Source organism: Homo sapiens, chromosome 6, assembly GCF_000001405.40.
Source record: "Homo sapiens chromosome 6, GRCh38.p14 Primary Assembly".
In the NCBI taxonomy this organism is placed as follows: domain Eukaryota; kingdom Metazoa; phylum Chordata; class Mammalia; order Primates; family Hominidae; genus Homo; species Homo sapiens.
Window position 1 is genome coordinate 132,319,956 of NC_000006.12, and position 18,231 is coordinate 132,338,186.

The 18,231-nt window shown below is 38.2% G+C and overlaps 1 protein-coding gene across 4 annotated transcripts in view; it reads right to left on the bottom strand.

The window, feature by feature from the left end:
* The window catches only part of MOXD1 (monooxygenase DBH like 1), a 105,421-nt gene that overhangs the window by 23,901 nt on the left and 63,289 nt on the right, over positions 1-18,231 (bottom strand). For all 4 annotated transcript variants that reach the window (XM_017010714.3, NM_015529.4, XM_047418622.1 and 1 more), the window contains exons 5-9: positions 8,460-8,639; positions 8,058-8,160; positions 3,976-4,142; positions 2,724-2,915; positions 674-733 (exon numbers count right to left, since the gene is read on the bottom strand). In XM_017010714.3, the coding sequence (XP_016866203.1) occupies positions 674-733; positions 2,724-2,915; positions 3,976-4,142; positions 8,058-8,160; positions 8,460-8,639 (702 nt within the window). The remainder of the gene's footprint in view (positions 1-673; positions 734-2,723; positions 2,916-3,975; positions 4,143-8,057; positions 8,161-8,459; positions 8,640-18,231) is intronic.

The following is an 18,231-nucleotide window of genomic DNA, read 5'->3' on the forward strand; positions in this document are numbered from 1 at the left end:
CTTAGCTAAACTCAAGTTGGTCTTATCATTAGATTTGTATATAAAAAAGGATTTGGTTTGTCAAACTCTTGTCCAAGTTATTTCCATCAGGTGCATACTACTGGCCCCTTTTATACTATCCTTGTGAAGTTTTAGTTTTAAGATTATGTTAACTACATTTTATGACTTGGTGGGAGGTGTTCCCTCTTTTAGTGTTCCTGAAAGAGATTGAGTAAGACATGAATTATCTATTTCTTGAATGCTTGGTGGAATTCCCCCAGTAAATCTGTTGGGACCAGATTTCTCTTTGAGTCAGAGGCCTCAAGGTCATGAAATTCATTCTTCATTTGGAAGTCTGTATTTATCTAAGCCAGACTCAAGCAGACAGTCAATTAATGACCACAGTTCTTTTAAAAATATTAGATGAGAAAAATTAAAAGACTAAGGATAGCTTTTCATGAAGGAGTCAATTAATTACACTCCAAGTATTATTTAATACTATAATATCATTAGTTAATTTGAAGTCTTAGAAAATGCTAAAAACATCTCTGATGTCACTTTTATGATACTTGATACTCAAGATTTTTAGAACTTTTCTTTCTAAATGGAAATGGTTTTTACCTTTTTCTTCTAAAATCAAGTTTATTTCTTTCTCTCCATAAATGAACTTTAATAATAATAAAAGTTTTCTTACCCAAGTCATCTCAGCTCTATCTTTCGTGTTGTAGCGACACTCAGTAATTAGGTTATCTCCCTGAAACATAAAAGCAAAAGCTTTCAGATTGAAGTTTTATGCTGGCTTATTTATCAAATACATTTGTACGTCAACAGTTAATATTTGCTGTATGAATGGATGCGCCAAGTAATTTCATTCAGCAGAAGACCCCTGATCTGTTTAATTCTAGGTTTGCTGATATAACAAGCAAGCAAATAAATAGGACTCTCTGTGTTTCCACCAGACTCCACAACATTCTAGCTGGATGAACTACATATAACCCAGGCACAATTTGTTCATTTAAAACCTAAAGATAAAAATTGTTCTTATTTTTGGCCCTGGCACGGTGGCTCACGCCTGTAATCCCAGCACTTTGGGAGGGCAAGGCAGGTGGATCACGAGGTCAGGAGTTCAAGACCAGCCTGGCCAAGATGGTGAAACCGCGTCTCTACTAAAAATACAAAAATTAGCCAGGCGTGGTTGCGGGCACCTTTAATTCCAGCTTCTCAGGAAGCTGAGGCAGAGAATTGCTTGAACCCAGGAGGTGGAGGTTGCAGTGAGCCGAGATCGCACCACTGTACTCCAGCCGGGGTGACAGAGTGAGACTCCATCTCAAAAAAAAAAAGTCCTTATTTTTTTCACAGCTGTTACGAGGAGATTAAATGACATAACACATAGGCATTAGCAACAAATGAACATTTAATAAACCTCAGACATAGATAGTAGTTATTGTGATCACCTCTTCATTTACATTATTTTCTTTAAAGGTCTCTAGTCATGCCTTTATTTCCTTACAATAGAATCGTGAGGCAAATTAATAGAAGTTTATTGTTCTAGTGTTTTCCATCCTTTTGTACATTACAATACATATGGAAAATGATAACATTTTTATGTTTCCCCTTTAAGGTAAGCAGATGAAGCTATTCATAGACCTGAGGCCGTAATCTCTGGGCTTTTGCTCTTAAATTTGACCTCCCTGCACGCCACTCAGAGGGCCCAGAGAACAGTATCTCATCGCACTTATGCCATAATCATGGTGCGTCAGTTAGGAAACTCTGAGATAACACTGTTTGGAAAACCCCAGAGACATCATAATAAAATAGAGTGTAGTCCTTAAGAACCTTGACAAGATCACCATTTCTCAAACTTCTTTCTACTCTCCGGATGTATCAAAGAATTTCTAAGATCCAAAGCTATGGATTTAAGGGATAGCTATTAGTAAAAAGAAGATCCCTTTCCTCTTTATCACTTTCTTCTGTTTTTTCAGCTTTCCTTTTACATCCTATTGTGCCATGTCTTCTCCCTGACAGTTCATCCCATCTAAAAACCCTGTCTCCAGCATCACGTAGAAAAGATATTGCCATTACTCTCATTTCGTAAATGGTATAGGGATCTGACTTTTAAAAGTAAAATAAGGGTAGAAAATTATACTACAAGTGAGCTTGATGGTCATGGAATAAAAATTTGAGAAAACAAAGCATTATAACCTTTTTAAAGCCTTCATTCTCTTCTCTCCTTCACCATAACCCCAAGTATTATGTCAAGCTGGATCACACAGCATAGTTTAATTAGCTATATTCACATAGCTTTATCAGATAAAAGAATTATCCTTACATTCCTTTTTACTAAAATGAAACTTCTAAAAATATCCTATCTCTTCAACATAGCATAAAGACACCTCTATTTTACCACTGCAGGAATTGCAACCCAAAGAATCACTAACTGGAATGTCAAGTATAAAAAAAGAGTAATGTTTAGTCCTCAGAACCTGAGATTTTTGTTTGGGGTTGTTTTTATTTTTCAGTCAACAACTTGAATTGCTCCTGGGAATTATAAGAAAAATGAGTTTCAATTTTGGAAAACAGATCAAACACATTCCATCTGGGTTGTACAACACCCACAGTGGGTGGTGTTAAGAATACAGATGCAAGGAAAAATTCATTTCACTAGTAGAAACCTTGCCACATCTCAGCAGATATGTCTCATGACTTTCATAACAGTCAATGAAAAAGAACAAAAACATGCATACTGGTAAGATTGTTTGTTCTTCCTTTAGATACTGAAACTCCTGGAAATTGAAGTCAAAATCATCATCATAGGCAAGTAATTTCATTTCCTTCCCTTTTCGAAAATGACGCAGCCTGATGCCTCTGCCAGCCAGGTGAGCATGGAGAAGAACAGCAAACACATGAATTCCACTTGGCTTTTCGGCTTCCAGAGCCTACAGGAGACACCGAGGAAGACCCGATTAGCCCACATTAATGCATGTTCAGACAGTTTACATTCAAACACACTTGGAGGGACAACTGAGATAAAAAGCTAAAGCAATTTAAATGAATGCTTGAACTGAAAAAGAGTTTGAATTCGGATTGTTCAGTGTTCTCCTTGTGAAGCAACATTTGCCGGGAGAAAAGTAGGGGAGCTGATGCTTATAAGGGGCCTCCCAGACCATTTCTACATGTTATCCTCCTTTTTCCTTCTTTTAGGAGGATAAGAGGCAATAAACATTCTTAGCAAAAAGATTCCAGTATGTTAGTAACCTGAAAACCCAAATTCTTAAAAGGAAATATTATTCCCACTTTTCCAGATAAGAAAGCGAAAGTGGGTCAATGGAATTAAATGAATCGCCCATGGTCCTACAGCTTGTAAATGAGGTCATGGCAATTTGAATTATGAACTATGGCCTAAATAACTCAGAAGAGCATAATCTTTCCACTTCACCAGTCTGCCATACTGTCCTCAACCACAATATCATATAATTCATAAAGAGTATGATCCATGTTGAAATATTTTCATTAAAAAACTTGAAGTGAAAATTGTCATTACTAAATATACTTTTCTTCTATCCTATATATTTTTTTATATTAGTTATTTTTGCTCTGTGGTGAAGAAAGGGAAGGAAACTATAAGGCAGAGAAAAATGAAAATAAATGATGGAAAAATCAATATGGATAAAAGGTAAACTAGAGAAAAGAAAAAGACTACACAAACAAAGGTTGAAATTGTAAAAGATGATATACAGCATGCAACATGCAACAAACAAAAAAGGTAGGAGTAAGAAGAAAAACACCCTGCCAACTACTTCTGTCTTTAGAGTTCTACTCCTGTAGCTTCAAGATTTAAAAAAGCAGTCAAAAGTCCTACTAAAATTGCGATAAGGGTTTCACAGTGTGTCAACAAGAAAGGAATCGATAATAAACATGTGCGGAATTTTTCACACCACAGTTTCTAAGAGCATTGATGAATCTGCAGAGAGCAGCTCAGACTCAGATGCTGCATACCTCTTCCAGGCACTCCAAAGTGCAGTGACCCTCAGACTGGAACTCAGGCATCCCTGGAGGGATGGTATGGAAGAGGCTCACCCAGAGGCCAGCCTCAATCACCCCAGCATCATATTTCCTTATATCCATTGTGTAAAATAACCTCAGTCCAGAATTATCTATTAAGCCTAGAACAAAAGCACATAATTAAAGTGATTTTTGGTTCTTAAAATGTTTTCATTCCCAAGAAAATTCTTGGTTTGAATTTTTTAAAGTTTTCATATTCTGTTGAAATAGGTTTATTTATTTTCCATAAACTGTCATGAGGGAAAGGGATTCAAGCAGAGATTAGTGGCAGACAACATTCAGTTTCACAAACAAGAGTTAAAAGATGAGTAGCCATATTGCCTGCAACCTTTGTGGACTCACACAGCATACTACAAGAGAAATGTTTCCGTTATCTGGCTGTTATATTCCACAATTATCTAACATGAAGACAGAATGAAGATTCTAAAGTCATTCATTAGAATATAGAATAAATAACTTAATAAAACTTTTATTTTATATTGTTTCGAGATGAAGTTCAATAACATTTACTTTGAGGTAAAACCTCCTTAGTTTAGAAACCATCTGCTGAAGAAAAAAACTACTAAAGATTCACTTTATTTCTTTAAAGTTTGTCACCATTTTCTTCTTCATTCAACAGCCATTCAATCAACACACAGTCATTAAGAATCCATTATGTAAATGGCACTCCATTAGGCATTGTGGGGATGAGAGATGAATAAGACACACTTGTCGTTATGAAATATTCATTACAGGGAGGGAGAGTATGAGCCCCAAACATTTCATAAATTCATTTCATTAACTTGGAAATTAATTGACTTCCTTCTGCAGTAACTAACAGATTGATTCCTTCCCCTCAGTTTCCTTTCTTGTCTCATTTAAATCAATCAGCTTAATCTATTTCTAGTCAATCATTTTTAAACACAAGGTCTCTATATCAAATATTCCTCATTGCATGTTATATACCCTTCACTCACAAACACACACACACACACACACACACACACACACATACTTAGAAGATATCCATTACTTTTAATTTTTTTCAGATGTAATAAGTTGTTAAAATTAAGTATTTCAATAATTATCCCAGGAAATTCTTACCTCTCAACCTCCCTAACAGCCTTGGAAAAAAATCCAAGCTTTACTTTCCTGCTTCATGAGTTTGTAATTGTGAACATAAAATATTTGCTATGTGTTTGTTGACTCCAGCTTCTTCAGATATTCAGGGTCATCACAAGGAAGCACTGTGATGTGACAATTAAGGACACTGACTCTGGAGCTGACCAACCTGGATGCAAATCCCAGCTCTGCTGCATATGAGTTATGTCACCTGGGGCAAATGCTATGGTTAAATGTCTATCTCCTCCAAAAAGTAGGTTTGAATGTTGTTGAAAATTAATGGCCATTGTGATGATATTGAATGGTGAGAGCTTTAAGAGGTGTCTAGGTCATGAGGGCTTGGCCCCTGTGAATCGATTAATGCCATTATTTCAGAAGTGGCTTTGTTCTCTCTTGCTGTCTTTACCCTTCCACCATGTGAAGCCTACTGCCATGTTATGACCCGTAAGAAGGCCCTCATCAGATGCCAGTACCTTGTACTTGTACTTCTCAGCATCCAGAACTGTGAGGAATAAATTTCTGTTCATTATAAATTACCCAGTCTGTGGTATTCTCTTATAGCAGCACAGAACAGATGAAGACATAAAGTTACCTAATCTGTGCTTCAGTTTTCCAGTATGGAAAATGGCCATAATAGTAGCACTACTACCTCATAAGTGTGATGTGTGGCTTAAACACCAAGTTCTAAGAACAGTGTTTGGCACAAATGAGGTGCTCAATAAATGGCAGCTAGTCACACGTACAGTGGTCACACATCTACCAGGGTTTCAATCAATTGTTAAACAAATAAATCATAAAAATCAATTCTCCTTTTGTGTTATTATCAGTGCAGATACAAATAAGCATGATAATGTAGAATATCTATACTGACCTTAGAATTTTCTCTGGACATATCTTGCAAAATTTTGTTTTGTATTTTATATTTTTGGCATCTACTTCCTTATAAGTTTGACAGGGAAAAAATATAAGTAGAAATTCCAGTTGCATTTTGTATAGTTAGGTTCATTAGTTGCATTAGCTGTTTGGAGCATTAATAGATAATCTAGTAAATAAAGTAATAATTTCTTAAGCACATATAAAATGATTATTAAAAAACTTTTCTGGAAACAAATTCGTATTATGTTATATTTATAAAAATAAAATTACTATAATCTAAAATTTGGTCTAATTATGTACATGAATAAAAATAGAAAGTACTAAAAATCCTGAGTTCTCTATTAACCTGTTAGGAAAATAAGCTTATGTTTCATTTTTACATTGAAACTATGAGAAAGTCAACTTAATTGACAACAGAGAAGGCAAATAAATTAAGCCTTCTACTTTTGTAATAAAGACTAAAAGGAAGAAGTAGTTCACATAGAATTTCCAATTGGAGAAGTATTATACATTGTATAGAATATTTATTCTATTAATAATTTAAAATCAAAAATGTAAAAAATTTTTAAAAGTTGCAATATAAGACATATTCAATAATTAATCCCATTGTTATTGTGATGACAATTTTTATGTTTTATAGTCACATATGATTTCACGGAAAATCTAACTTTTAGAATTTATTAATAGGTTATTTTGCTTGGTTTATGAAAGTTTTAAACTTTTAACATAGATTCATGGTTCAGAGTATGGGATATAATTGGTGGGTGGAAATTAAAGTGAATTCAGAGAGAAACTATTTCCTATTAATTACTTTAGGGTAAAAAAAGATACTTTATTGGCTTGCTCACAAATAGAATAGCTTGACACCTACTTTTATAGAAACATCACTCTTTAAATATCATACCACGTGTCCTCTCTTCAAAATCTATTATTCATGCTGCTGCAGCCAGAGTGGTCTTTTCAAAATACAGATCTCAATATTTGACTCCACTGTATCAAACTCTTCAATTGCTTCTCATTGTCTTCAGGGTAAAAATCCTTAATGGGTCCTACAAGATCTTAGATGGTCTGCTTCAGCCTTCCTCTGCAGGTTCATCAGCATCTTTCTTCACTGCACCCTAACCCTTCAGCATCTCCAGTCACCCAGATGAACAGTTTGATTCTTTAATGAAGACTTTTTAGCCCATCCCCACCAATACACACTCCTGGCTGGATTAGGTCACCAATTAAATACTCTCATAGTGTTAGGTATCTTCTTTGGACCAATTGGCATACATATAATTTCATATGATTGCTATGAAAAATTGATTGTTTCTTTTTCACATTGGGCTATAATTTCTGTAAGGGTGAGAACAGCATCTGTTTTTCACTCACTCTATATCCTCAAGCACAGATCTGGCACATAGTTGGAGCTCAGTATTTGCTGAAAAATTGCATGAGTCAATATAAAATAATAACTTGGAGTTACTTCTGTTGATAATTTCGTGTTAAATCTATCAATGTTAGGATTTGGAATATCATACAAATGATTTCAGAAACAAAATGTACATCCTTACATTTCTTTACTTCAATATCATATTACACGGTGTCACTGCATAAGTACTTTTTGAGTACATCTATGGTTTGCTTACCACACAACAAAATGCTTACACTTTTTAGTATAATAAATGGTAACTTTTTCTTACGTGCAGTTAGAAAGAAAATGTTCCATAAACACCATGTATTGGGACTAATCTACATCACAAAGGAAAAGTCTATTATTCTACTTCCTGGTAGGTAGCATGCAAGTGTTTTTTTTGTAAGATTAGTGACTGCGTGTGCTCATTTACCTGGTTTGGTGCTGGTTAATGCCTGCTGTTACAGTATAATTATAAATAGTACCCACTTTCACTTTAAAAAGTATCCTAATTTGAATGACAAATATATAGGTTAATTCCTTCTAACACTGGCTGCTATTTTGTTTCAACTCTGTTAAAGACTTACAAGGTACAAAACTTTTTATAAAAATCATAGGTAAAACATATGAATAATAAACTCACCTTCCTCATAAGTGGGATTATCATAATGGACTTCTAGGAGCACATAATGCGGATCTAATGGAGTGCCAAGGGATAATCCAACATGAGGTGGATAAGAAAAGCCCTAAATATGGAAAATGCCATGAGACAATGTCCTATGAAAGTCCCTGAGAGCTCTATTCCACTCAAAAACCAGCCATCTTCAAGGATATTTCAACCCTCTGGAACCCCATTCATCTACAATTGATGAAATAAAATAAAAATGACTTAAAGAAAGAATCCCTTCCTACGAAAATGGAGTTAAGCCACCTTCATATCAAAAGTAGCGTTAAAGCTTTACTTCTAAGTATTAATTAGAATCATATTTGTGGCGGGAAATATGATCAGTTAATTGTGTTACATCTCAGTAATCATTAGCCCCACCTCTCCACCAATAGCCCAGGCAAAAATCACAGTTTCACAGGTGAGGAATGCATCGGGCATGTTGGGGTGATAGCACTCGTGGCCGGACTCCAGAACGCTGTCGTTAAAGTTGTTGCTGCACTGATAGAGCAGGATGTGGTGCACCAGACTCTCATGGCCTCTCTGTATCACTGGCTCAACCTACACGAACATAAATGAGAGGGAGGACACAATAAATAAGACCACCCTACAACATCCCACAACAAACGTGAAACTAGCATAAATTACTGTCAGTTTCTCAAAGGGATATTCTTCTCAATTATGTCAAGGTTGTGTAGTTCAAGTCTAATTTGTTCTGGAGACAGTGACAATGGTAAAGATATGATGATGACAACGGCAACAACAAAGATGAGATAACCATTTAATCCAAGAAACAGGACTTTACTAATCGGCTTTTTTTTTGGTTGTTAATTCACTGTCCTGTCCTTTGCCCATTCTGCAGAGCAATTGTTTTGAAAATTGCTTGCTTTTTTCCAGGTTTGCTCTTCCTCCTCCTGCCTCTCACTTTTTTTTAAATTTTTATTATTATACTTTAAGTTCTAGGGTACATGTGCACAACGTGGAGGTTTGTTACATATGTATACATGTGCCATGTTGGTTTGCTGCACCCATTAACTCGTCATTTACATGAGGTATATCTCCTAATGCTATCCCTCCCCACTCTCCCCACCCCACGACAGGCCCTGGTGTGTGATGTTCTCCACCCTGTGTCCAAGTGTTCTCATTGTTCAATTCCCACCTATGAGTGAGAACATGCGGTGTTTGGTTTTCTGTCCTTGGCGATAGTTTGCTGAGAATGTTGGTTTCCAGCTTCATCCATGTCCCTACAAAGGACACGAACACGAACTCATCCGTTTTTATGGCTGCATAGTATTCCATGGTGTATATGTGCCACATTTTCTTAATCCAGTCTATCACTGATGGACATTTGGGTTTGTTCCAAGTCTTTGCTATTGTGAACAGTGCCGGAATAAACATACATGTGCATGTGTCTTTATAGCATTTTTTTTTCACATAGAAAAAAAGAAGTCAAGGCTGTGGGCACAAACGCTCTTAGTCTCCCTCTCTTCCACCTCAAAATGTTATCTTTACCCATCCCTACCAGTGGTGAGAGGTGAGATCTCATTTATCTCTATAAATGCATGGTGCTGAGAAGAAGGCTAGGGCTCAATCATTTTTACTGGTGATTTTATCATCAATGAAATTCAAGAAGAATTAAATTGTAATCTGACCTCCAGATTACAAATTGAGGGTATAGCCTAAAATATGAGGATTTCCTAAGAAAAAAAATCCACCCATGAAACAACAAGGAAACTTACTGCAAGTTTCCTTGCACATTTTATTTTTATTTTAATGATTAAGATCAAAAGCCAATAACAATTTTATTATTAGAATTTGGAAGAGAAAAAAAACATTGTTAGCTATGTGCGCTTGTGACACTGCTCAAATTAAAAGAGGAAAACTAGAAACAAGTAGAATGGGCAGTGAAATTGGTCCTAATGTGGAAAGCGTGATCCACATGAATGTGGTCCTTCCACTGTTTGCTCTGTTAGTTCCCTTCATAACACTTGCCCACTTTAGTCCAAGAACCTAGGAATCAACTCAGAATGAGTGAAGCACACCCTAGCATCCCAGAGATTCTATATGCAGACCAAATGGAGCCTTGTACTTGGTGTAGGTGGGCTGTAGGTGTTGCATCAGTTAGAGCAGGGGTCCCCAATCCAGTACTGGTCCGTGGCCTGTTAGGAACTAGGCCGCACAGCAGGAGGTGAGCAGTGGGCAAGTGAGCAAAGCTTCATCTGTATTTATGGCTGCTCCCCAACACTCACATTACCTCCTGAGATCCACCTCCTGTCAGATCAGCAGTGGCATTAGGTTCTCATAGGAGTGCGAATCTTATTATGAACTAACTGTGCATGTGAGAGATCTAGGCTGCGTGCTCTTTATGAGATTCTAACTAATGCCTGATGATCTGAGGTGGAACAGTTTCATCTCAAAACCATCTCCCCCATCCTCCAGTCCGTGGAAAAACTGTCTTCCATGAAACCAGTTCCCTGTTACCAAAAAGGCTGGAGACCGCTGAGTTACAGGGTTCTTTTTTCTTTCCCCTCAGAGTTCTTGGAATCTTTGTTCAGCTGATAAAGTAGCCCTGGCGTGTTGCTAAATATCCAAGAGTTTAGCCTTAGAGTTCATCAACACTTCTGTGTTTAGTCCTAACTACTCAAATTCAGGCACCGCATTTTAAAATCCTTGCTTGCTCTCTACTTTCAGCATGCACATTTACATGAAGTGTTTTCAGCTCTTTTCTCCTATGGCTTTGTTTTCCATTTTCTCCACAGTTTTTCTCTTTTCTGTAGGGAAATCTAAGCAAGGGGGGAAATGGTATGTAGTGGGTCGTGTCTGAATGGGCAGCCAAGAAATTCCAGTTTTTAAATCCAGTTTTCTTCTGTGTTACATAGCGAGTCATGCCACACCTAAGCCTCAGGTACATTTTCAACATCACATTCATGGAAAAAACATTGCACACGGTTTTGTTTGCACTTGTTTTGTCTCTAAAAGGTCGTGTGGCCTGAAGGCAGAAACTTTTCTATTTTGCTTGAAAAGGGTAGTTATCGTTCAAGCATGGTTGCATAGTAACAATGATTGCACAGAAGTAAAACCCAGAATTTCTATAAGAATTTCATTTTTATGTCTAGTTTGAGCTTCTGTCTGAGACTTGACGTTTTTGGGTTCCTCGGTCCTCCAAGGGGGACAGGGCACTGCTAAGATGTCAACAGTAAAATATTCAGGCACATGTGAGATTTTTGCTAAATACCTCATAAATTCAGGCAGAACCTTAAGGTTGTACTGAGCTCTGTAAGGTAGATCTTGGGAAGAAGCCATTAGGGCAAAGGAGAGTTGGTTACTGTCACGACAGTTTCAGAAACTAGTGGCCTTCATTGAAGTAGAGGAAGAGGGAGTGAAGGGTGTGTGATGCTGGGTGGTGCTTGACTTTGGGGAGCTTCAAATAAACAGCTTGAAAGAAACTTTTAAGAGCAAGTGCTTTTTTTTTTGTCTTCATAGGAAGTGCTAAAACTAACACCAAACTGCAAAGCTACCAATTTATCCCTGGAATAATAATAACATCTGTCTTTTATTTAGACCTACTATCTACTAGCCACATATGAATCATTCTATGTATTTCATTTAATATTTACAACAAATCTATAAGAAAGATGTTATAATCCTTATCTTACAGATTTACTGAAACTCAGAGATTAGACAACAAGCCCAAAGTACCACAGCTGGGAAAGGGTGATGGGATTTTAAACCAGGCTAGTGTGACCCCAAAGTCTGTACTTTCCTACGGCTACACATTATTGTAGGAAGCGTGTTGGAGATGCATCAAGGACCCTGGAAGTTGCTGCCGGTGGGAGGGAGGATGAAAGGCTTCAGTAAGGCAAGTTGCCGACAGCTGTCATCAACAAGGGTGATGACCTCAGGAGCCAATGCCAGAAGGTACTTCTGGAAGCCACTAGCAGGGACCACCACATGCAGATGCCCTCAGAGGTGCAGTGCCAGACTGGGAGTCTTACACCTGGGGAGGGGGCTCATGGCCTCCCTGCCACTCCAGTCCCAGTGCCCCTTGGCCTCTAGGATGAGAAGACAGACCCATGGCCTTTCAAGGTGTTCCTTCTTACAAAGGGCAAATAACAAGGCTTCTCTTTGAAACTTGATGAGGGCTTCAAGAAGAATTAAACTGTAATCTGACCTTCAGATTACAGATTGAGGGTGCAGCCTAAAACATGAGGATTTCCTAAGCAAAAACACCAACCCATAAAACAACAAGGAACCTTGCTGCAAACTTGGGTACTGATCACGGGAGGAGAGGATAAAAAGGCTTGGAAGAAGCAAGCCCTTGGCAAAATAGAAAGGATGTGAGCAAAGACAGGGAAAAAAAGAAAGAAAAAGAAGTGCTTGGAAATGACATGTAAGGATAAATATAAATTAAGAAACTGATAATATGGGAGAAAAAATTACCTGACTATCAAACTCCTGAAAAATAGAAGAATAATTTCTAGAGAGGAAATTTTCAGACCACCATGGGGATATTAAGTGAGACACCAAGAATGTTCCTTAAGGATGGACATAACTTGTTTAGTGGAGGGTACAACTTGAGGAAATGGGAGTACTTTGATCAGTGCAGGACAGGGCCATTGGCTCAAATGCTTAGCACAGGATAGGATTTCCCACAATGCTTCACGCCATGCTTACAAAGCCTGATCAAGCCAGGGCACTGCTACCAATCCCCTGATGGAGGCTGCTCGTTATTTTCTGCTCCCACAACAAGTTCTACAAACATTTTAAGCAGTCAACAAACTTGTGTTTTAAACTATGTTATGCTATTCTTCTTTAGCCAAGGCACCATCTGAGGAAGCAGAGTGAGGCACACACAGAGCTCCATGCCCCTTCCTGCTTGTTGGCTGAATGCTGCATTAACCCGACTTTCTGATGTGCTGGGTAACTGTCCACGGAAAAGACAAGACTTTTGTTTTTGCATTATTATATTACTTGTAATGATGACAGAGTTATACATTTTTTAATTAAAAATACTGAGGCTGGGCCGGGCGCTGTGGCTCACGCCTGTAATCCCAGCACTTTGGGAGGCCGAGGCGGGCAGATCACAAGGTCAGGAGATCGAGACCATCCTGGCTAACAAGGTGAAACCCCGTCTCTACTAAAAATACAAAAAATTAGCCAGGCGTGGTAGCGGGCACCTGTAGTCCCAGCTACTCGGGAGACTGAGGCAGGAGAATGGCGTGAACCCGGGAGGCAGAGCTGGCAGTGAGCTGAGATCGCCCCACTGCACTCCAGCCTGGGCTACAGAGTGAGACTCCGTCTCAAAAAAAAAAAAAAAAAAAAATACTGACCCTGTAATGTATCAGAGTAGCATTTAAAAAGTGTTCCTTATTCTGGTTACTTCACACATTCACATTATTATCACAATCACAGGGGGAATGCCAAGAGTTGCCTCTATTCAAAAATATTAAAATTGTACGAATTATTAAAGAAAGTCATGACCATAGAAAGTATACGAATATAGATATATTGGTATTCCTGACACTGGAATGAACATTTAATTTAATCTTGCTTGTAGCCTGGCTGTATGATGGCAGAAGAAATAAATAAAAAGAAATACAAAGCAGTGCATATGGAAGTGGAGGCAAGACACAAACATGGAAATTCCCCTGATGACATCAAACTATGTTATTGATCCCACATTCTTGTACAAAGGTGGGGTGTACAGACCCAGAATGGTGACAGGCCCGTGAGCTTACCTTCTGATGGCAAAACAGACCAGGCAAGGAGGGCCTGGCAGCCGTGGGTTATTTATTAACTACTGTGTGTATTAAAGGAACAGCCCAGAAACCAGAACACAGACAGAAAGGGAAAGACTTCAACCTGAAAGAGGAAAACAGTCTCTTCCATTAGATCAAGTAACGGGAGCTTTCAGATACACTTGAGATATCTTAGCAAGAAAAGCAGAGAACAACAATAAACAGTTGCTCAAGAGTAGCCAAAACCAAGGTGGAAATTAACACTGACCATAAAGCTGACCTTGACAACGACCGTTTTTCCTAATCTCATCATCTCTTCTTACGCACTTTATCCAGGTCAAATATGCCTCACATAGCCCCTGCAGCACAAAGAGTGCTTAATAACTATTTATTGAATTGAAATAAAATGAATACTACCCTTTCCATGAAGCCAACATCAATGAGGCTGAATCATTAAATTCATTTGCCTCTTAGTTTCTTGATTATCTCCACTATACTGCATCCCACTTCAGCTACTGAATCCCATTGTCACACCCTGCCCATGAGTACACTACCTCTGAAATTCTCTTTCTGTGCCTCTTTCCTTTCCTGTTAGCTCTTTCACACTTTTCCAGTTGCTCAGCCAGCCATTTTCTCCTGGAAGGTCACTGAACTCATCACTCACCAGCACTCACAACTGACCCAAATGCTCAAATGGTGAATCACTCCTGTCATCTGCTCCTTCTCATCCTCCACTAAGGACACTGGAGATAAACTTTATACAAGTATTCGCATGAGACTTCAAAGTTCATAACTCACACTTTTGCCTCAGAACGTCAATCTTTCTTTGGTTTTGCTCTGCATTCTGTTCAGCTCCCTGAAGTGGCTATCCTAAAACCTTTCCCAATTTATGCACACCTCCTAATCAGCTCTCAGCAAATGTCTTCATTATTTTGATGAGAGAGGAAAGCGTTTCTATCCACTCTGTAGCTGCCTGAGGGCAGAGCTGGGGGGATAGAATTTGATGCAAAGGACACAATATGATTGAAAAAATCTTAAATATCAGGAACCCATTTTATATATTCATTTTTTACAATGTAGAAAGTAATGAAACGATTCAAAGAATCTACACTTGGTGGCATCTTATTCTACTTAACTTGAGCTATACAGAGTGGGATGAGACATAGAGAACCTAAGACCAAGTGACTGGGTACAGAGATAATACCAAAAAATTCTATGTGTTGCAGAATTCCCTAGAACTTAGAACGAAGAAAATGTTTCAGAATTTGAGGCAAGAAAATCTTAGGGGAAATGTATATTTCCCTTCAGTGACTGAAAGAATGAGATCTTTGACAAAACTGTGCCTACCTGCTGATCTCTCTTCACCAGCACCTACCCTGAAAACAGATTCAGTTCAAAAAGGGCTTTTTGTGAAAGACACCGAGTATTGGAAAAAAAAAAATCCGTATGGTTTTGGAGGCTTCAAATAGCCAATTACCTAAACAATAATGCTGGCTGAAAGAAACATATTTTTTTTTTTTGCTTTATTTCCCTGTGCTGGGTTGAACAGCGTCTCCTGAAAATTCATGTTTACCTTGAACCTCAGAAGGGGACCTTATTTGAAAATAGGGTTTTTGCAGATGTAATTGGTTGAGAGGAGATCATACTGGATTAAGGTGGGATCTAAATCCAATGACATGTGTCTTTATGAGAGAAAGGAGAGAGAGATTCAGACATAGATACATACAGAGAGAAGATGGAGGCATGAAGATGGAGGCAGAGATTGGAGTGATGCTGCCACAAGCCCAGGAATGCCAGAAGCTACCAGAAGCTGGAAGAGGCAAGGAAGGGGAGTTTTTGGAAGGAACCTGGCCCTGCCTATATCTTGATTTCAGACTCCTGATCTCCAGAGCTGTGAGAGAATAAATTTCTGCTGTTTGAAGCTATCCAGCTTGCAGTCATTTATTACAGCAGCCCTAGGAAATTCATACATCCTCAATTTTCTACCACAAACTAAAAATTTGGAGATTTGTACATTTCTACCTAGGTCATGATTGTCCCTGTCATTGTTTGTGACACGAACTCATCAACTCATCACAAATACACATTTCTCATACATGACTGAAGCTAAATAGGTTTTTTTATTTATAGCTAAATATATGTGTGTCATGCTTTAGCTATTAATTTTGGGGGTAAAGCGGGAGAAAGTACCTTTCTTGTCTTGTCTGATTATACTCAGCAATATGTGAGAAACACAGGGAGGTTACTAGCGCCCTTTTGAACAATTTTCCTGTACTCATTCTTCCAACTCTACCCATTTAACCTGTGGCTCCTTGCTTGTTAAAACATGAGAGGACGAGTGGAACACAGCTCTTCAAAAACAACTTGCAACTCGATAAATTCAAAACTAAAACAAAAGGAGAGAGGCGATGGGTGTAATCTGTAATGAGCTGGAAATTTTGTAAATTCCCATCACTTTTCTTCCTGCCTGTTCTTGTTCCTGGCACCCAGCTTTACATACCCACCTGAGGCACAAGTTGCTGCCCACATAAAAGCCCGTAATCCATCTCTGGAAAAAGTTATCAAGAGGTCAGCTAGCTCCTAAAGTGATGCTGCCTATGGGAACATTTCAGCCAGAACTAACCATGTAGATGGATGAGCATATGATCATGCTGACATGCTCATGTGACAATGGGAGCACAGAGGTATCTGCCCCTCTCTCTCCATGTCTCCTGCCGTATCCTCATCCCTAACAGGAACGGCTCTTTTAGCCTGACAATGTATCCCAGGTATGAGAGACAACCAGAATTAACAAGGAAATGGCATCTTTGCACCACAGACACTCCACTCTGAAGAAGGTAAGGGTGCAATGCAAATCCTGACTTGCTGATGTGGTGTCAAGGGGCCACAGTCAAGGGGCCACAGCATGAATGGACCTGTCAGCTAAAGCACATGAGGTGATGGCAAGAAGAGATGAAGTGGGAAAGAGATGAAGAAAAGGAAGGAAAAAGAGAAGAAATGAGGGCGAGGAGGCTTCTGGGAAATAACTCACCCCTTACTGTAATCCCGAATTCTCATGCGTCTACCATCTTCAAACACAACCTTGCCCTGCCAGCCACAATTGGTAAGTTCAGGGAAGGGTGCCCAGCCTATCTTGGAACTTTTCAAACGACGAAAAAGAATTCAACCCCCTCTAGAAGCTGAATATGAGCTGTGAGGTTCAGCAACCTCCAGGGATGATGTTTCTCAGCACATGAAAGAAGCCAGCATTCAGTGAGATACCATCAAGCAAGCACACAGAGAGGTACCAGAGACAAGATAAGACAGGTTTGGCAGAGTTCGAACACTTCACTGAAGCTGTTCCTGAAACCAGTTGCATCTCTACCAACTGTGGTTTATTTACTCAAGTTTTCCTCTTAATAAATGAATCGATACATTCCTTTCTTTTTCTGAAACTAGTTCAGCTTGGGTTTCTATTACTTGCAAATAAAAGTCCTGATTAATAATCAAACACAAATAAGTATAAATCATCAATTCATTAATATGTATGTGCAATCATGCATGTGCTACCTGAAATTTTTTTCTTCACATTGGAACATTGCCACATAAAATACTTTGCTTTTGTTTTACTCTTCCAGTTTATTTACTATTCTTAATTGGACCTGCGTAAGTTAAAAATAGTTACTTCAGTAAATGCCCTTGAAGAGTAATATGTTGGGAGAGAATCACTTCCTCTACTACATACCTCTACTACATACCAATATCTTTCTCCCTTGCTTATTGATTTCTGAATTTCCACCTAGGCACTTAGGATTAAGGCTATTTGACTTGATGAAAGAGGTAACATGTTATGATTTACAGTCATTTATTTTTAAATATGAATGAATTAGGTCCTTTGGCCAAACACTTCAAGAATATAAAAACAAACAAAACAGAACATTACTTTTAAGACAGTTTATAACACAGCATGCTTAGTGTATATATTGTTGTTTGAATTTTTAATAGATTACTCATGAACTGTAAGGTACCTTCTGTACCTATATTAGCATATATAGTAATTATCAATTACTTGAGATATTCAATACAGCAGAGATCACCTAGAACTTTATGAAAATTTGAAATTAACATATCTATGGCCAACAAGAAGTAGTTAATTTTAAATTCATACGTATATGGCCAGCAAGAAGTAGGAGTGTCCCAGAGGTCCCATCTTGGCTGTGCGACTAACCAGCTGTGGGACATGCCATAAGTAAGTCACATGATAATAGCTCTGCTTCCAATCCAGCTCTAGTCTATGTACAGACTAGATGAATATATATATTCATTTAATCCTCAAAGCAACCTTATGTGTTTAGGTAAAAGAATTATTCCACATTTTACAGATACAGAAGATGAAGCACATATAAGTTAAGAAACTTGCCCAAGTGTCACAGCGC